General features: G+C 37.1%; 1 long non-coding RNA gene across 23 annotated transcripts in view; it reads right to left on the reverse strand.

The window, feature by feature from the left end:
• MIR100HG (mir-100-let-7a-2-mir-125b-1 cluster host gene) overlaps positions 1-20513 on the reverse strand; it is a 394543-nt gene that overhangs the window by 46281 nt on the left and 327749 nt on the right. For 11 of the 23 annotated variants that reach the window (NR_137179.1, NR_137180.1, NR_024430.2 and 8 more), the window contains one exon: positions 14494-17131. The exons of 1 other annotated variant lie outside the window; for it this stretch is intronic. This is a non-coding gene — a long non-coding RNA (mir-100-let-7a-2-mir-125b-1 cluster host gene). Of the gene's footprint in view, positions 1-14493; positions 17132-20513 lie in introns of those variants that run through there. 11 more of the 23 variants (NR_137192.1, NR_137193.1, NR_137181.1 and 8 more) reach the window with 1 other exon arrangement.

The raw sequence follows: 20513 nt of genomic DNA on the forward strand, positions 1-20513 counted from the left end.
CTGTTATCCCCTAAACAATTACAAGTTTCTTCTATTGGTAGAGTTTTTAGCTGTTTCACCCTTGTTTGCTTGAAAAGGGGTTTAAACAGCAATCATGAAATATATATATTTTTTGTTATTTGTTTGATAACAATATATATGAATATATGAATATATATGAATGAATATATGAATGAATTAGTGAGTAAAGGAAAAAGCAAATCTGTAACTCCCTGACCTATCACCAGGTTTGGTTTTATAATAAAAACAAGGCTGATCATAGATGTATTAGTAATAATAATAAGAGTGAATTATTATTTTTTCCTATTATGAGCCACGCTTGAACTATGAGGTAGGGATGCAGTGGTGAGTAAACCATACACATCTCCCTTCTCTGGAGGGAAGTCCTATGGGAGGAGCATGCATTTATCAAATCATTGTCGAAATACATAATTACAAACCATGAATGGTATAAAGAAAAACATTACAGCAAGTTATGAGAACACAAACAAAGGGACAGGATCTAATTGGGAGGAGGTCAAAGAAGGCTTTCTTGAGGAGTCGATATTTCTGTTCAGATTTGGAATGATGATAGCAGTTGCTTATAGGCAGAGCAGTGACTTGACTGCAGGGGACTGAATAGAATGGCCATTAAAGGCATTTTACCCTGCAATCAGATGTTTCTGGGATTGTGAAGGTGGGAAGTGGTCTAGCATCTGTGTGTGTGGAGTAATTTTCAGTGTGTGTGGAAAATAAAGTAGGCAGACAATAAGAAGGATGGCCCGGAGAAGAACATGATAAAGCAGGACAGAGATAAGGCCAGGGGGAGGGGAGGAAATAGCTCAAAGAATAAATAATAAATCTGAAGAAGTAAAGAAATTAAACACAAGGCAAAATGGAGGAAATGGTGAGTATACCACTAATATCAGTCCTGAGTAGCTCAAATAAAACCCATAAACCTTTAACCGAGAAGTATATCTTTGTTTGTAGTTAAACTTTCTGCATTTAGAATTTAAGGAAAGAATTTTGGCTAAAAGGAAATTCTAAGCTGGTTTAGGAAATTCTAAGTTGGTCTTTCATTAGATGGGATTAAGTGCCAGGGGTTGGGGCTAGCCTCTCTGCAGCTTTTGCTGGGGCTGGATATCTATTTGTAAACATAGGTGAACAAATGGGGAACTTAGGAAAACAAATGGGACGGCTGAAGGTTGCACTGAAGAAGAAGGCGGCAAGTGGAGTTGTATAGATGACCTCTAAGTTCCATTCCAGTGATTAAAATCTTAAGTATTTAAAAAGCAAAGGGAGAAGGTGCATCTGGAACTCTGAGACACTGTATTAATGATTCTATTGTCACGTGAACCTTTTAGGATACCAATTGGTATCCTTTTGCTCATGTACATTCCTCAAAAGTAGCATGTTTTCTGGTCCTCCTGCGTGGATGGAATGAATGTCTCTCGCTCTGCTGGCACAATAATGATGGAGACACAGGAGCAAGAACCTGTCTCAGGGCACATCTGTAATTGAACTTCAGTGGGTTTGGATTTGAAAGCAAGTGACAGAAACAGAAGGGCATAGAGTGTCCAGGTTATTGGAGCAAAGTAGGAAGTAGAGCTGCGGGAACAAAAGATAAGCTTTGTCTGCTTAACAGTCTTCCCAGACAAATTGTGTTGAAAAATATAATAAGAGTGATTTATCTTGGGTTCCTCCCTTCACCCCTGCAAGTCTGCCATGGGGTCAAAGAAAAAAAAATCAATCATTGGAGAATCCTTCCTTGAGCAGAGAAGTCTTGTCAGTCTTCTAGGTTCCTTTATTAAAGCCCTAATACCCATGGGAGGACCCCAGCTTATTAAATAATATGTTAGAGAAACGTTACTCTATCAGGTACTCTCTAACAGGTACAGAGAGCTGAGCTCAAGACCCTAAGGGCAGGAGACACAGGACAGAGCTACGGGTTAGGCAGAGCACTACCACATGGGAGAATGCTGGAGAAAATTCTGTCCAACTTCACAAGGGAGGCTCAACCAGGGCCTCAGTTGTATAAAGAGCCTCTGCTGGCTCCCAGTAAATAGCTCCTGGCCCAACACAAAGTCACTGTATGTGCAAACATTTTATTCACAGAGCAGTCACTTGCATCAATTATACAATAAAAATGTGCACATATTTGGGGCACTTGCTCTTTAGTATTCATGGGACTTCACATGGTCAGACATTTAGCCAGATGCAAGAAAAAGTGATTATCAGCTACATACGAAATAAAAAGCATGAGAGAGACTTCCTCACTGCAAGCATGATTGCCTCATCCCATGCTTTTGTGAATGGGCATTACTGACTGGCATTCAGACCGTAAGAAAATTGGCCAATGAGAACTCAGCAATGCTCTGATTGAAAGCTGGTCGCACACACACAAGAAATGCCAGTATGCAGAACCTGATAGCAAGATTTTAAACATTCTCTAGAGCAGAACGTATAAACTGAAGAATCGGGTAAAAAGGTGAATTCATGGTTATTAGCTAATAATAAGACTATAATTATTGCAAAACATCTTGGACAATGCAGGATGGTGAGTAGGGCTGAAAATGGAAATAAATAGTTTTCTAAAAAGGTAAAAATGAATGACTCAGGAAGAAGGTAACTTGTTTTTTATATGACTTTCTTTTAGGGTTCAAAAGCTACTTATAACATTTTTCTCAGCATTGCTTTTAAGGTTATTTCATTTCTGGAGTCAACCTGGTTGTACATTCAATGAACTTGATACTTCACTGTAGAACCTCTTTTCTCTGAAAGGTCTAAAAAAGGCCCTGGTGACCCACCATGGTGGGGGTTCTCAAACTCAGCACTTAATCTCAATTAAGAGATTCAGTGGGGAATGTGCCTTTTCAAAGAAGATACTGAAAACCTAAAATGAAAAAGATAATCTTCTTACCTAGTATGATTCTATAATCAGCTGGTTTGGACTTGGCGTTCAAGATGTAAATTCAATCCTTGTATAGATCAGTTAGTTTCTACTGCACAAACACTTGTCTGTCCTCACTATGTACCATGATCTCAGATAGTCCAGCCTAAGTCCAGCTGGCCACCTACCAAATGCCATTGTTTAAAGAGAACAGGGCCATTATTTAAGGAAAGTGTGGGTGGCTCCCTGTGTGTCTTTAACATATGTTTTCACCTAAATGTGGGTGAGTTAAAGCTTGATATATAAAGGAAAGAGCATATTATTACTTAAGCAAATGGACTATCTAGGGGATAGAAGCATAAGTCAAAGAATGTGAATGTTTCCCCCATTGCTAGTGATTCCCCTGCAAATATGTTTTTAGCGTATTTGGTATAATTATCTGTGAGAACAGATGGAATGGGATCACAGGTACTTCAACCTTCTTGATAATCAGAAAGTCATTTCTATTTGACTTTGGAATACAATGTTTACCACTCCTACACAGGCCCACCTTCTTCATTATGTTCAACTTAACTTAAACCTGTATTTCCATGTCCACTGGAAGGCACTGGACATAATCCTTTATGCAGTCTGTCTCAAGTTTTCATCTTTTACTTTCTTCTAGATATTTTCTCTAGTCTCTTCATCTTCCTGCTGTCCCCCCATGCTTGAATCAGGCAGAAATTCACACCGTTAATTTTCCAGAGACTAAATGTTACTAAGGGTCAGCATTTCTTTACATGTCTGTTTCCCCTAATGAGGTGAGTTCTTTGATGACAAGGATTATGTATCATTCATCTTTGTATTCCCAGGACATAGTATGTCCTAAATTAATGTTTATTGAATGAATTAACTATAAAAATATGTAACAACTCATTAAGATATTTTGCCAGTCAATTCTATAATTTCTTAAACTGTTAGTTTAGCATAAAGCATTACATTGCTCTGGGCAAGCAGGTAAGTGGCTATTTACAAGGCAGATTTATATTTAATTGGATATAATGTATTCTAATGATTTGAATTGATTTGGTTAGTCTAATTTGGATGAAAGACACTCAGTCCATTGGTGTTATTTATTTCCTTGGTGGTAATAAATGAGATTCCTTCTAATACCTTGCTGACGGCAATTTGAATGTCAGTGGAACAGTTGGAGCCTTTCACTTTTGCAATAATGGTTTAGGGGCAAACAATAAGACCCTTAAAAACCTATCTAATCCAGCTTTATGGCCTTATAAGCTGTCAGGCTCTTCATTTTTTTTTTCATGATGGGGAGATAAGACAGGATGTAAGAAAAGCAGAGAGGGGACCATGGGGCTTAAGGAGCTAAAGGACTTTGAGATCAAGTAAATAATAAAATTGGTAGGTGGAGAAACTGCTTTCCCTCTAATCTCTATTTCCATTTTTGCAAGTGGAAATACGTACATAAAGTCAAGCAAATGATAAATGTAGAAATTCCTAATGATCTTGTGAATAGCAAGATTGGAAACAATGAAAAAATGTCTTAATCAACTTGTAGAGACAGAAGGCTATTTTACTACAAGAGGTAAAATTTTGGGACACACTGCACCCACATTAATATGCTTAGTAAACTAAAAGCCACACAGTATGAAGACATTACCTGTGGTCATAAAAATAAAGGTCTAGGGGTGAGGCGCAGTGGCTCACGCCTGTAATTCCAGTACTTTGGGAGGCTGAGGCAGGTGGATCAGTTGAGGTTAGGAATTCAAGACCAGCCTGGCCAACATGGTGAAACCTCATCTCTACTAAAAATACAAAAATTAGCAAGGTGTGGTGGCTCATGCCTGTAATCCCAGCTATTCGGGGGGCTGAGACAGGAGAATGGCTTGAACCCGGGTGGCGGAGGTTGCAGTTAGCCGAGATCACGCCATTGCATTCCAAGCTGGGTGACAGAACGAGAATCCATCTCAAAAATAAAATAAAATAATATAAAATAAAAATAAATAAATAAAAGTCTAGATAAAAGACTTCGAGTTTTTCATATTGTTTGAAGAGAATTCTTTAAATCAAGCACAGCCAATAACAATTTGGACTCAAAATCAAGCAAATTTCTCCCTTTTAAACAGTGTATTAGTAGGCTGAAGCAGTTCACCTTGATTCAATGAACTGAACTGGACTTTGGATTTTAAAATTTACAAAAATCCTCCAAAAATTCAAGTCTTCACAAAAAAGACTTGTGAACGAGGAGTCAGGAAAACTGGGCTCAAGTGTTGTCCTGCAGGTCTTCATGGTACCTGCTCAATATTCTACCCCAAATATTTCCTTTACCAAAATGAGATAATATCATATGAATACTAGGCAGACAAACTAAATAATAGATTAAAATGTATTGCTCTAACCCTTTGGGAGAAATCATTAAAATATAAGGAGTTTGTATTTTTATTACACCAGAATTACCTACAGCCCTGTATCTAGTTCTAGCCATCCAGCTAAGGATAGATTCAGAAACAGTTCAAAGAAAAGCTATGCTGATGGTAAGAGTTCTAGAAATAGATGGTATTTTTTAAAAACATTAAGAGAACTGGGATTATTTATCCTGTGGAAGAAATGTTTGAGAAAGGATGAAATCATGGTTTGGAATTAGAGCAATGATTCTCAAAGTGTGGTCCCAGGACCTACAACAGCAGCAACCCCTGGAAACTTACAAAAAATGTAAATCCCAGGCCTCTATCCCACACCTGCTGGATCAGGAAGTCTAGAGGGGCTCTAACAACCTGTGGTTTACCAGCTCTCCAGGGTGATTTTGATGCTCAGCCTAGTTGAAGAACCACTTGGTGAACAGGAGCAGTGGTCTTGCAGAGAATAGGGAAAGTGAATAGTGATACTCATTGAAACAGAAAAGAAGGGTTGGGACAGCTTTTAAGTATTTAATCTTTTCCCCTGTGAAAGAAACCAGATAGCAAAAGAGGACAGTATACAAGTAACTCGGAGAAAAAGCATAGAAACCATCTAGAAAGGGCTCTTTTCTTTCTTTCTTTCTTTCTTTCTTTCTTTCTTTCTTTCTTTCTTTCTTTCTTTCTTTCTTTCTTTCTTTCTTCCTTTTCTTCAAGGAGAGTACAGAATCCATATGACTTCCTACATGAAGTTTTAGAAGTAATTTTAACATTGGTTTACTCAAATGAAGTTTTAAGGGAACAATAGTAGCATCAGAAGCAAAGCCAAATATGTACACCAAATTCAAGCAGTAATGGCTCTTAAATAATCCATAATTGGCTGGGCATGGTGTCTTATGCCTGTAATCCCAGCACTTTGGGAGGCCGAGGCAGGCAGATCATGAGGTCAGGGGTTCAAGACCAGCCTAGGCAACATGGTGAAACCCCAACTCTACTAAAGATACAAAAAATTAGCTGGGCATGGTGGTGCATGCCTGTAATCGCAGCTACTCAGGAGGCTGAGGCAGGAGAATCGCTTGAACCCGAGAGGCAGAGGTTGCATTGCGCTGAGATTGCGCCATTGCACTCCAGCCTGGGTGAAGGGCGAGACTCCATCTCAAAAAAAAAAAAAAAAAATCATAATTAGTGGAAAGAACCATGACTTTTCAGAAAATCAGTGAAAAAAGAAACATGAAATACCAATGAGAAAAGGAAAGATAGAGAAAAAGGAAAGAAGGAAGGGCAAAAGCAAATGGAATACAGAGAAAGAATCACCAACTCTCAGTACAGGAGTGAGGGCAGGAATGAAAAGGGTGCTTTCAATGACCCAATACACATCACCATGCAACAGCATAGTACATTGGAGCCTTGCTAAGAATTCTGTCTTCAGGAGCCAGATTGTGAAACTGCTTTTTCATGAATTTCAATTCATTTAAAGAATTCTAATTGAGTTGAAATTCCTTACTATTAATTTCTTTAGGCACTTTGGTAGATAAGCCCCTTGAACAGGTGCCAGATCATACCCACCTTATATAGAGGATTGTTACTATAGTGAGAAGCCAAAAACATATATTTTTGAATCACATTTACTTTTACTTTATTTTGTGGGATAGGTAAGTTTTGAGGATATATAGACATGTTAATATCCATAAATAGTATAGACAGAAGATTTCCTACTCTACTTACCCTAAATCTCCTCTTTCAAGTAAGGATAATTATCAACCCAATAAGATAGCAAGAAAGAGAAAAATCCAGTTATTTAAAACATCAGTGTATGCACTATAGTAATCTCAATTATTCACATACAAAATGTTGCCTTTTTTGATTACCTGAAGCAAAATGTTGATCCCAGATCAACTTTCTCTGGCTATCCATCATTTATCTAGATAGCTTCTTCCTAGCATCAGTAGTTGTTAAGAAAAAAAAAAAAAAAAAAAAAAAACATGTAAATATGAGGCCAATGAAAACAAACAAATAAAACTAACCATGCAAAACTAACTTCACTTCTTTCTTTGTTAGTTATTAGACTGATAGCTTTGGGGAATGACATTTGGAATCCTAACTTCAGTATGTGACTTGACTCAGCTTCTTATGATCTCTTTTGGGTAAGTTTGAGTCAAACATTTGAATAAGATGACTCTGAAAAACAATCTTAATTTAGCAGATGTCTTAGGATAAAAAAAATATTGGGAGATGGAATGATGAGTTGAATTTTAGGATGAGGGAAATAGAGTTTGACAGCAGCATGTATAGAAAAGACTTAAGTGTTTTAATAGATGGTAAGATAAGATGAATCAATACTGATAGATGGTTGCTAAAAAGATTAATAGGAATTTTATTCCTGGAAATCCAGTACTTAGGGAAAAATTTTATAAAGGTGATCATCATGCATTTCTTCCCATTTGTCAGTCCACATCTAGAAAAAAGCATTCAATCCAGAGTAGCACATTTAACAAGGCAACCAAACCAACTGGAATGTGGAGACTCACAAGAATGATGAAGGCATGTGAAATAATGCCATGGGAGGAATGACTGCAAGTGCTAAGGGTGTGCAGCCCAGAGAAAAATGACTCTGGACGGAACATGATTTCTTCTTTGAAATATCTGTAAGACTGACAAATAGAAGAGAGACTAGACTTAATAGACTTACACTATATCTCCTAAGGCTAAAATAAGAAACAATAAAAGACGATGCCTTTGTGATTCAATATTAAGAAAAAGTATTCGGCAGGCACGGTGGCTCACGCCTGTAATCCCAGCACATTGGGAGGCCGAGGCAGGTGGATTACCTGAGGTCAGGAGTTTGAGACCAGCCTGGGCGACATGGTGAAACCCCATCTCTACTGAAAAACAAACAAACAAACAAACAAACAAACAAACAAACAAACGAAAATTAGCTGGGCATGGTGGTATGTGCCTGTAATCCCAGCTACTCGGGAGGCTGAGGCAAAAGAATCGCTTGAACCAGGGAGTCAGAGGTTGCGTGAGCCGAGTTTGTGCCACTGCACTCCAGCCTGGTGACAAAGCGAGACTCTGTCTCAATTAGAAAGAAAGAAAGAAAGAAAGAAAGAAAGAAAGAAAGAAAGAAAGAAAGAAAGAAAGAAAGAAAGAAAGAAAGAAAGAAAGAGAGACAGAGAGAAAGAGAGAAAGAAAGAAAGAAAGAAAGAAGGAAGGAAGGAAGGAAGGAAAGAAAGAAAGAAAGAAAGAAAGAAAGAAAGAAAGAAAGAAAGAAAGAAAGAAAGAAAGAAAGAAAGAAAGAAAGAAAAAGTATTCAAATGATCTGAGTTGTCCAAAGATGGAATTGCTGATCAGGAATGTGGTCCATTATAAGCTAACAGGAAATTCAAGCAAAAGATGGCCTTTGTGGCTTCTTCATCAGTGAAAGTCTATGAACCTAGAATTAAAAAGGGAATTTGACTGAAGTGAGCATCTAAGGCATATTCTGAAGACCATATTCATTTTTTATAACATCTGCACCCTGCTCCTCTCTGTTAACCTGGGTATTTAAAAGCCAGTGGTGTGTAATCTAAAGACCTTCTCAAAACACTATACCATATTTACATTCAACATCTCTGTAAAGTAAGAACAAGTCAACTACCTTGTTTCTCTTCTTACTGAAGAGCTAACTCTACTATGGAAATTGTAAAGAAAATAATTATCGATAGAGTTAGATCTATAACATAGCCCCTTTGATTCACGAAAATGAAACTTTGAACATGTGTCTCTTGACCTTCACTGTCTAACATTCCTCCCCAAACTCTCCCTAATGTTGATTGCTTAGTTTATTAATTCAAGTTCGTTGAATAAGTCATAGTCTACAATCACGATAGTAGTTTATGAGAGCAAGTGTTGCTGTTACTCCAAGTGCGTGGGGAAGTTGCAGAGGTCCTTTTCTAGAGGCCTTCAAGATAAGTTGCAGAGGTCCTTTTCTAGATAGTGTGATTATTCTACCATTGGCTCGTTCCTACTTTTCCACTGAACCTACCAGTTATCACACTATGAGCAGAGTAAGGAAAAACTCTGTAATACTTGTGTATTACAGTGCTACTGCACTTTTAATTTTCTCCCTCCCACTATTGGTAAGCAATGATATAGCCTCCTCAACACAATACCTAATGCTGGGTACTGTAATAATCATGGTGCACTGCTCACAATCCCTGTGGCAAGCATTTACACTGCTCTAAGCACCAGCAAGAAAAGAAACAAAAAAAATTTTTTGTGGTTCCTTTTAGTCCTTGAGTATATCACAAGTTTAACCCTAATTGGATTTACCTGATGTCAGTAAATGACCTGGGACTTTCGGCAGTCATTATCCCAAAGGGTAATAATCAGAAAGTTGAGAGGAAAAAACCTAAAATGGCACTTATCTAATGTGGGAAATTAAGTGACTTAGATAGTTATGTACAAAGGGTATAACCAGAGCCAAGTGTAATGTCCCATGTGATTTTTACTAGGAGAGACTAGTTTTAATAGTTTCATCTTTGGACAACCCTCCTTTCTAAGCATGTACCTGCCACTTAGGGATCCCCAACCCAACACGCTGAGGCTCATTTCATCATTATTTTCATCATCCTAGTAAAAATTCACTAGGATCTTTTAAGCCAGGATAACCAACTTCTCAAAGTGTTGAAAAACTTGGTGGCTGATATATGCATGGACTAAGTTATGTATATAAGTTAATAAACCCACACACACACACACACACACACATCTTTTAGGACTGGTTTGCCTGAAGTCTTGACATCATGGAATGTCAAATGTCAAATGTCTTTAAAATATGATTATCGGCTGGGCACGGTGACTCATGTCTGTAATCCTGGCACTTTGGGAGCCTGAGGCGGGTGGATCATGAGGTCAGGAGTTCGAGACCAGCCTGGTCAATATGGTGAAACCCTGTCTGTGCTAAAAATACAAAAATTGAGGCTGGGTGCAGTGGCTCACACCTGTAGTCCCAGCTACTTGGGAGGCTGAGGCAGAAGAATCGCTTGAACCCAGGAGGCAAAGGTTGCAGTCAGCCAAGATCATGCCACTGCACTCCAGCCTGGGCGACAGAGCAAGACTCAGTCTAAAAAAAAAAAAAATATATATATATATATATATATAATATACATGATATATCATGTATATTATATATATATTTATCTGAGTCTCCTAAATGAAGAGAGAGTAAACTGGCAGAGAAATACGCATAAAATAATAATTTGACATTCCACATTGTTGTTATCTATATATAGTGTTTTCCTTGAGGTTAGCAGATGCCAGAATTCCTAGATCAATTAAATAGTGCACCCTTTGCCCACAACTTCCTTTGTAAAAGCTGAATATACAATATACTAACAGATTTTTCAAAATATCTATTTTTCATTTTTAAAAGTATCCCTATTTAAAATGTAGGAGCCTAAAAATATACACAAACCAAATGTTGATTCATTGTAGGAGTTGCATGTTATGATTCCCTCATTGCATCTGGTAACTGCATGTGGTTAGCTACACTTGGTACGACTGGATACAGCTTGACATATTCTGGGATTTATTAAAATGTAAATGACAAAGCAGAAAAGAATGTTCAGACAATTGGATTACTCCATTGACTGAATGTTCCAATACTGTATCTATTTTTGTCAAAGCAATGGTGGTTCCTGCTGTGGAATGCTGAATGGAATATTCCATTGCAGGGCATGGGGAGAACTTGCATAAAAGAAATTGAAACCTAATCATTTAATTTTTAATTCACCTCTCTAAAAGCAACACATTGCCAATACTTGTAAAAGAAATTATGATAATTTTGGCACACAATTATTGGAAGATCATCATTTTCAACTATTTATTCAGTGTCTATTATTGGTTCTGTAACTTCATTCATGAAAACAATGATACATTTGCTTGTTTTTGCTCTTGGCCTTGGCTTGTTTTAGCTATGAGCATTATGTGATGAGCATGAATATCTGTGATATGGCAGGGAATATGCACAATCCAAGAGAGACGTTTTCCTGATAGGAACTGTTCTTATTTATTCCAGAGAAGAGAAGGCTGGGAGGTAGTTGTCTTTAAGGACATGAAGGGATTGAGTTTAAAAGAATGGAGGCCGGCTGTTCTTTCTCTCCACAGGGAACAAGAGAAAATGGGATTAAACTACAGCGTGAGGGATTTGGAATAGAAATAAGAATTTCCCAACTGTGTGGAATCTCAAACACTGAAATCCATTTTGAAGGAAGCATGTGGACATTAGTTTTATTTTGATGCCTTTAAAATATGGAACGGCACATTTTCACTATGTGGTTTTTACATGGATGAAGAAGAGCAGATTTGACGACAGAGTTCCAGGATTCTCTTGATCTATGAGTAGAATCTAAAAGCGATGCATGGTGGTAACTGTGAGAAGTAACTATTTTTTATAGTGGTTATTTTTTAATATGAACTTTTCTCATGGGGACAGAGTGTCAATTTTACCTGTACTGTGAAATGTGAAATGGAATGGAATGGAATATAATAAGTTGGGTGGGGACAGATAATGTGGGAGCACAATGCAATTTTTAATTTTGCCTTCCCACTACCATTTCTGCTATTGAGTTATTCAAGTTTAAAGGCAAAATATCCTTCTAGTGGAGTTTAATATATGTATATTGATTTTTGAATTTGTAAAAATGTGCTCAGGATTCCTGGAGAAATGAGCATCCTCTGTACCCTCGTTATGGGCATATATATGTGTATATATATGTATATGTATATGTATACATATATATATACATATATATATGGATATTTTTAAAGGAGCTGCATTTTCACGTTTGATTAGCAGATTAGCAGAATTATTTGAGTATATGGGATTCAAATTGGTCCAAATTCAATTTTGCTGTTAAAAATTATGACTACAGTGGATATTGGTTGTCTCTTGATTTGAAAATAATTATATTTTCCATTTCCCTGAGATAGTTAGTGTAGCAGGAAGAGTGTTGTGTTAAAATCAGAAACCTGGGGGTCAGGTCTTATCTCAATCATGACCTGGCTGTTTGACCTGGACAACTCAGTAACTGTTAAGTATCAGTTTATATTCTGAGGAATAAACAAAACTGTGTTAAACAGATGGTTTTCCTTCTAATATGCTATCAATTATTGATACCAAAAACTCTCGATTTTCTGAGCTGAGTCTAAGATTATGTTCCCGTAAGTCAACAGTTCTCAACTTTGCCTGCACATTCCAATCTCCAGCGGAGCTTTAGAAAATTCAAATTCCTAGGCCACACTCACACCAACTAAGTCAGAATCTGTCCCAGGTATCAGTATTTTCAAAACTCCCCAGGTGGTTACGATATACAGCCAGGGTTTAAAACTCATGCTTTGGATACAGTGCAGTAAGGAACTGAAATAATCATATTAATGTTATCTATTATGAGTGTGAGAATTGTGTCCATCTTGTTCCTTCCTGTATCCTCAAACCTGAACAAAGTGCCCAGCACGTAGTAGGTGCTCAGTAAATAGTTAATATTTTTAGGAAACTTTGGCCAATTACTAAAAGATATAGGGCATATCAAAGTAGATGGCTGTATCTACTTTAATCATTTTTATGTTCATCTCATTCACTTAATAAGAGCTCAATTCTCTTCTTTTTTTGGTCTGTATAACGTCAAAAGAAAGTGAAATAATAGGTAATATTTTGCTGCAATACAATTCACCTATCCTTAGGATGAAATTTTAAAAAATTGTCTATCACATTCTCTAGAGAAGGGGCCCTTTGGAAGCTAAAGACATGTCTCCTACATGACTTTACACATCTAGGTAAAAATTAAGAAAACTAATTGTCTTTATGTGTCCAGGTGTGATATTCATTCAGCGGACACTTACGAAGTACTTTTGATGCCAAGCATTGTGGTAGGCTATCGTAGACTTTCCTGACCAGGGTTTTATGCTAGAATTGAACCCTAATGCTCTGAGCGTCTTTACCCGTGATGAATTATTTTCCTTCCTTTGCATGTAAAATTGTATTTTTAATATATCATTCTTGGGAGAATTGAGGAAATAGCATTCAAATCATATCTTTGTTCTCTGTGGTTCACATAGCAAACCCCAGTTAAGAAAGGGCTGCAAGTCTGGAGGATAAAATAACAAGCAAAACATAGCATTTATCTTCTGGAGTGGCACTATCCAATGGAAGTTTCTCAGTGATAGATGTGTTCTATATCTGTGCTGTTCAACAGAGTGGCCACCAGTTGCATGTGGCTATTGAGAACTTGCGATGTGAGCAATGCAACTGAGGAACTAAATTTTTACTTTTACTTAATATTAATTAATTGAAATTGAAATAGCCACATATGATGAGTGGCTACCTTGTTGAATGGTGCAGCTCTAGAATCTCATATTCAAATATGAGCACAACACTGGAAGATAAATGCTAATACGAGGTAAGCTCAGAATGACATGAAAGCGCCTAGGTGGGGAAGCTAGTCTTAGCGCTGGTAGAGGTTGGGGTGAAAACTTTCCAGAGAAAATGACTTCTAGGATGGGATGTGAAGGATGAGGGATGGAGTTTGGAAGGTGTAGTGGAGAAAGTACTAGGTAGAAGCTGAAGTGTGTGAGAAAGCCCAGAAGATAGAGGGAACATTAAGAAAAGGCAGGTGGATGGCACGAGCCTAGAATCACAGAGGGGCTGAAGAGTTGATGAGTCCAGAGAGGACTGTTGGAGCCAGGATCAGGGCATGAAGGGCTTTAGGTGTCACGATATCTCAAGGGCAATGGGAAGCCAGTGAAGAGTTTGAAGCCATGGAATAATACAATCATATTCGTGGTTTAGAGAGATTTCCCCGGCTGCCCCTTGGCAGTGTGGAGAGGAAAACTGGAGGCATGGTGCTGTAGTCCAGGTGAGAAATGAGTGTTGTTCTTTAATGCAGTAGCATAGATGGAGAGAAGTAGACATATTTGAACAATGGAAAGAGAAAAAAAATCAAAAGATTACCTGAGTGATTGACCATGGCTGGCGGAGATGGAAGAGACAAGGACCAGACCTTGGTTTCTGACTTGGTAGATGACAGTACCTTTTATTTAAAGGTAACATGGGATCCTTTAGAAGTTGTCTCCACATTTAAATTTTCCTATCACATTAGCTGACTTGTTCCTCGTGGATCTTGAAACTAACTTTGATATACACTAGTGAAAACAAATAAATTATAAGAGCATGCTTTTTCAAGAAATCAACACAAATTCACAGTTGATGCAACATTGCTTTTATTGGGGGTTAGGAACATATGACAAAGTCACATAAAATGTCAACAAAGTCACACTTTGTGCTTGGCTGCTCTTTAAAAAAAAAAAAAAACCCTGTTTATTTATGAACTCACTCAATGAGAACTATGTGAGATGTGGCCAACAATTATCATGCTTAAAACAGGACGGCCAGAGCCATGAGGAGATTGAAGTCTGACAATGCTAGCTAGCTAAGTGGAAATTTACCATTGTCAAATATCAGATACTTCCACACATTTAGATGTTTGTCCATAAGTAGACCCAGCTTAGCTGACTCCTTTGAGAAAGAATTGTGTCTCAAACCTCTGTTATTCAGCTGGCCATATTATTAATCATTACTAAATGCCAGCCACATGCAAAGGGGATGGAAAAGAAGAATGAGATTTGCTCAGTTTTAGCTTTCTGTGGCTGAAGTATTTTTGAGTCAGTTACATGGATACATGAGGATTATAGTAGGAAATGACTGAATATTTTTAAAAACATAAGTACTATGGAAACAGTCATGTATAAACATTCGTGCAGAAGCACTTACAAACATACACTGTGCATAAAGTTGGTTAAGAAGATGCTTGTTAGAAATGATTTATGTAGGTGAACTAAGAATTTGAAATAACTTAATACCATTGAAGACATCATACACATACAACTTTGGACATTATGCATTCTTCTGGGGATGAACCATTGACAACTTCTGGACTTCATTGCTAGCTATTTTTTACATTGAGGTGGGAAACCAAAGAAGTGCAGAACAGAAGCAATCTACTAGGCACAAAGCTCCCTGGTTACTGCCCAGATAGACTGTTTCCACTCATCAAATTGAAGTGCATACTTAATTTAGGAAGGGCAGACCAGTGCAAAAGCTACTGATAGTGAACTGGAGGGCCCGGTTTCCATCCCTTACTCTGCCACACTCCAAAGTTCGATCTTCTGTAAGTCACTCTAAATTTATGGCCTTTAGATTTATTGCCTCTATTAAAAAGGGCATTGCAACAAGTGACTTAAACCTCCCCCTTTTTTATTCTCAAGGATTTGGGATTTTACATAGACAAAAGTGAACAATCTCATCAAAGTCTTGCAAAAAAAAAAAAAAAAAACAAGTCTGAAATGCTGATAAACTTCATTCCCCATTTTTTTTCCCAATTTCTATCATGAAAATACATTCTATCACTCCAGCGTAATTTTAATCAGAAGACTGAAAAGTTTTAGGTGATTATTAAATGAAATAGCTAATTGTTTGCCATGGAAAAATATCAAGGAATATAAAAAGGGGTAATAATTGTGACATTGACTACAATATTGCAACTTGGCACTATAGATCATGAGCTTTGCAACTGCAATACTGAATGTGAGCCCTGTATATGGCACTTCGGCAAGTTACTTAAACCTCAGTTTTCTTGCCTGTAAAATGGGGATAATAATACCTATTTTGCAAGGCTGTTGAAAGGCTTAAGTGAGTTAATATGTAAAATGCTTAACAGAACTCAATAAATACCAATTATTATTAGGTTAATGGAAAAATCATAGTTCTCCATATTGTCACCAATCACCCTTACTTACTTTAAAGGAAGGGAAATATGATAATAATTCTAAGTAATACCTGGGGTGAGAGACAGGAGGTGACTGTGCAGTCTTTTCCAGATATGTATAGAGAGCTGCTGAATGTCTGGGTTTAAGTCAACAAGATGTGTGTATTCATTTCCTCCTCCAATTACAACCACCTAAAGAACTCCATTTTCTCCTTCCTTTCCATTTATCTAAATCTTCCACATCACTCAAGGTTCATCTCATATTTTCCTGTTTTATAACTTTCTTCCCTAAGTAAGTCAGTTTTGCCAACTTGATGGCAAACTCCCCTGAACTCATCTTTTGCTTGGTTTTGTTTTTGATCTTATCCTCTACTGACTCTATCTGTTACTTATCTTTGCAAACATTTCTATAACTTTTTCTAACTAGATTTAAACTCTTTAGAAGCAGTGATTTTATCTGATAGAATCTAGCTTTCTTGATTAAAAAAAAATGATCGATTGGTTAGTGTCAAGTGGACCAATGTGGTACTATGATTATTTTACCCTTTGAATAGCCTCTGACTACTTTATTTTAAAAGTACTTTTATTCTGTAGGTCACTCTCAAGATCCAACCCTATGTGTGGCTAAAAATCATTCTCCTTGTAGGATTCATTTTGTTTCTTAAAATATTAACACATTTGTGCAATTTGGGATTTTGAAACAAGTGCATTAATAAGCATATCCATACTAGGAAAAAAATGAATGTCACATGAATTTAAGTACAAACAGAGGAATACACATGAGGAAGGGAAAGTTCTTGGCTCATGAAAATCTAGATGTCATTATTGAGTTTTTCTGTTTCTTGAAAAGATTGTCTCTTGTTCTGAGAGTTCTAGTGGCAGAAGCTGCACAATTTGGGGGTGTTTCTTAGCAGAGGAGGTGTCTTCAGGTGATCACTTTCTTTGTTTCAACTTCATAGTTGGCTTGAGAGTCCATCAATATAGCAGTCTCTTCAGTCTTTGTCCTTGCACTGGGGAGACATTCCTGAGGAGGGGTACTATAGGACCAGCTGAAAGGAACATCAACACAACTAAAAAAATAACAGAACATGTCACAGAAAGTTATCACATTGACTCTTTAATAATAATAAATAAATGTAATGATACTTTGGGGACCATGCTAAGTCTCACTAGAGATGAAATGCTGCATCACTAGAAAAATGCTGTTGTTTTACATTGTTCCCCTTGCTAAAGAATCAGTCAGCAATGGCATTGCCTGAGTGTGTGTGAGACACCACTCTAATGGCTCTGGGAGAAAATGCTGTGTAAGAAAAGCTTCAGGTTTATCCAACAGGGAACTTACTAAAATGGGACACATAGGGAAAGAACAAAAGAACACATGACATTGAGGACAGATTCAAATAAATCCAAGGAGTGAAAACAAAGTAAGATAGCTGTGGGTACATAACTGCTTAGGAATGCAGGGCTGAATGAAGTCACTAGAATTGTTAGGTGTTGTCAATTCCTTGTATTTGTCTTTGTATTCCCAGCGCATGGCACAGAACATGGTATGGAAAGAAAAAAAGAAAAAAAAAAGAAAGAGGGAAAGACGGAAAGATGGAAGGAAGGAATGAAGGAAGGAAGAAGGAAAAAGAAGAACGAAAAAGAAAGGAAGGAAAGAAAGAGAGAAAGAAAGAAAAGAAAGAAAAAGAGAGAGGAAGGGGGAAAGGAGAAAAACCGAGAAGGATGGAGGGAAGGAGAGAAATAAAGAAGAAGGTTTTCAAAGTGTAGAAGAGGTGGGGGGACAGATTATGCAGAAAGGAAAAGCATATCCTGGAGCATATTCAATGACTTAGAAGCCAGAGAAAGCAGGCTCACTTAATTCAAGAAGAGATTACACATTCTGAGTGGTTTTAGAAAATGGGGTAGGGCAATTTCCAGGTGGCTTTGAACACGTTAAGATTTAATTTGGGAAGTATGATGTGTTACTGTAACTATTGTAGGCTTCTGAGAGGAATATTAAGATGACTCAAATGAATCAAGTGGAAGGAAAAACGTGAAACTCAAAGGAGTTAATCCAATGGAAAAAAACGAACCATACTGCAAGAAATTAAATGAAGGCAGGCCTAAAGAATATAGTCTTAAAATAGAAAGGCAGGTGCTTGTCGGGGTTTCTTCTATGTTAATGTTAATTGAGAGAAATGGGCTTAGAACTCAGATCAAGAATTTGCTTCTCCCACTGTGTAGCTTTTTTCATTCTTCAGCTGTTCTTCTTTTCTGCTACTGCCCCTTCCTGAAAGTGAACTCCAGTCCTTACTGTTTTAGCATCAACGCAAAATATGTTAGTAAATACAGAACGTGGAGGTGGAATCAAATATAACTTTGAAGGACGACTGTTGGAACAAATGAGCTCCAGATCCACCGGTTCTGGAGTTGTTCCTATGCCTCCATACTTTAGAATACCTTCAAAAATTCTTAAAGCTGTAAAAGAATTTAGAGCCCAACTAATCCAACCCATGCATTTTAAAGATAAGGGTATTTGAGAAGAGTTGTTATTAATGTTTCTCTTTTTTTATAAAAGTTGTTATGAATAAAATATACTTCTCAGGTAGATGTTTCTTTAACTGAAGACCTTATCATCAGCCTCTTCATCATGCTTACACAATGAAGATGTCTAATAAGTCAGGCACACCAAAAGGGGTACACTATGACACATCACTGCTTTCTGCCCTAAACACTTTTGATACACCGAGGATGCTGGCTCCCTAGATGGCAGGTATAATATGTTTTTTAATCTGTAAAGTAACTAAGTGTTAAACGTTAATAGGTATTTTTCTGATTAAGCATGCAATAACTGATCTTGGATGAGTAATTAAATATACATCTTAAAGATTTTAGAATTTATTATTTTGTGAACATTGACAGGGATGATGGGGTGCTAAGCTTTTGATACTCATTTGTAAAACTCATTTTTTAATAAATTAAAATATTATGTATTAAGGAATAACATTTTGCACAATTTTTTATGGCTCATTTGGATATCTAATGATGGCAAATCCTTGAATACATGAGCAGGTGAAAAGTAAACCTTGTATTGCTTTGGTATTAGGTAGCTATACATCACGCAAAATGTCTCTTTCTAATAGGGACTCCATCATTAAAACAAATTTTGAGAAACAGATAGTATAAATATGTGAATGACCATATTCTAGGTGTCTACTATGAGTCAACTGTTCTACAAATCAGCTTTCTTTGGGCTCTATGCCTACTCAATTGCAATGAGTCATATCTTGTATCTCAATATAAGCCTCCCTTGGAATCCTTTTTGTCTCCCAAACACATAAGCATAAATCGAGACCCTTGTATTGCCTTGCCCGGGGTCCTTCTGTGACCTGATGGTAATGATTCTCCAAATTTGCATCAAGAGCCTCTTCACCTACTGAGCCAACTACCAGGCTGACCAGCCAACTCGCTGTTGCTCTGACTGGGCTATTCCTTAATAGGTAGATCTTCAGGGATCAGTTCCCTGGAAGGAGGCTCTCCAGTGGGGCCATCAGTAGACCTTGGACATCATGTCAAGACGTTAAAAGGGAAGTTGATGTTAGTGCACAAATAACCTAAGGCAGAGTTTCAGTATTCAACATGTGCCATGCAAAACAGTGAAAAACAATAAAAGAAATTGCTGATTATTGTTATTGTTTTGATTACTTTGGTTAAATTAAAATTATTATCTCTGCCTAAGGTCATTTCCCTGGCATTCTATTTTGTTATTCCAACAAAGGAACTAATATTCTCAATTACTTCAAGTTGTCTAAAGTCAGAAAAAGACTAAATCAATCAAGAGTAGCAAATATTTTACAAATTAAGCAAGTGTCCACAATGATAACCCTTTCAGAGATAATTAATTTCCAACATCTAGGTCGCACATATTTATTCTTGCATAAGAACACAGATCGTAGAGTCCTCGTATCCCTATATTAATTAACAAAGAATTTTTTTAAAATAAGCTTATTTTAAAAAGATTCTACTCAGGAACCATTTCAATGATGAGAAATGCACAAGAAAAGAAAAAAACTCAAGTAGGCAACATGTAAAGCAACAGACAACTATATGCACATTAGTATAATTACACATTGCAAATTATATCGGATGTATCTAATATCTAATTTTTTGAAAGCTGATTCCACTTGAGACTTCAATAACAGCATCAACATTTTGCAGGTGGCTCCTTCTGTATAGTATCCAAAGGGAATTATTCCTCTAATGTGCTTACAACCCTCAAGTAAAAGCTAAAGCTCTCTCTTAAAGGACCAATGAACAATGAACACTAGGAATATTACCTTGATAAAGGAAGGGGGGAGGGTTTCACCATACATAATATTCAGCACGGTTATTTATTCTCTTCCTTCTGTGCCCATGATATTTATTTGCTTCAAGCAATAAGAAACAAACTTAAACAGGAGACTCATTAGA

The sequence above is a fragment of the Homo sapiens genome, chromosome 11 (assembly GCF_000001405.40).
Source record: "Homo sapiens chromosome 11, GRCh38.p14 Primary Assembly".
In the NCBI taxonomy this organism is placed as follows: domain Eukaryota; kingdom Metazoa; phylum Chordata; class Mammalia; order Primates; family Hominidae; genus Homo; species Homo sapiens.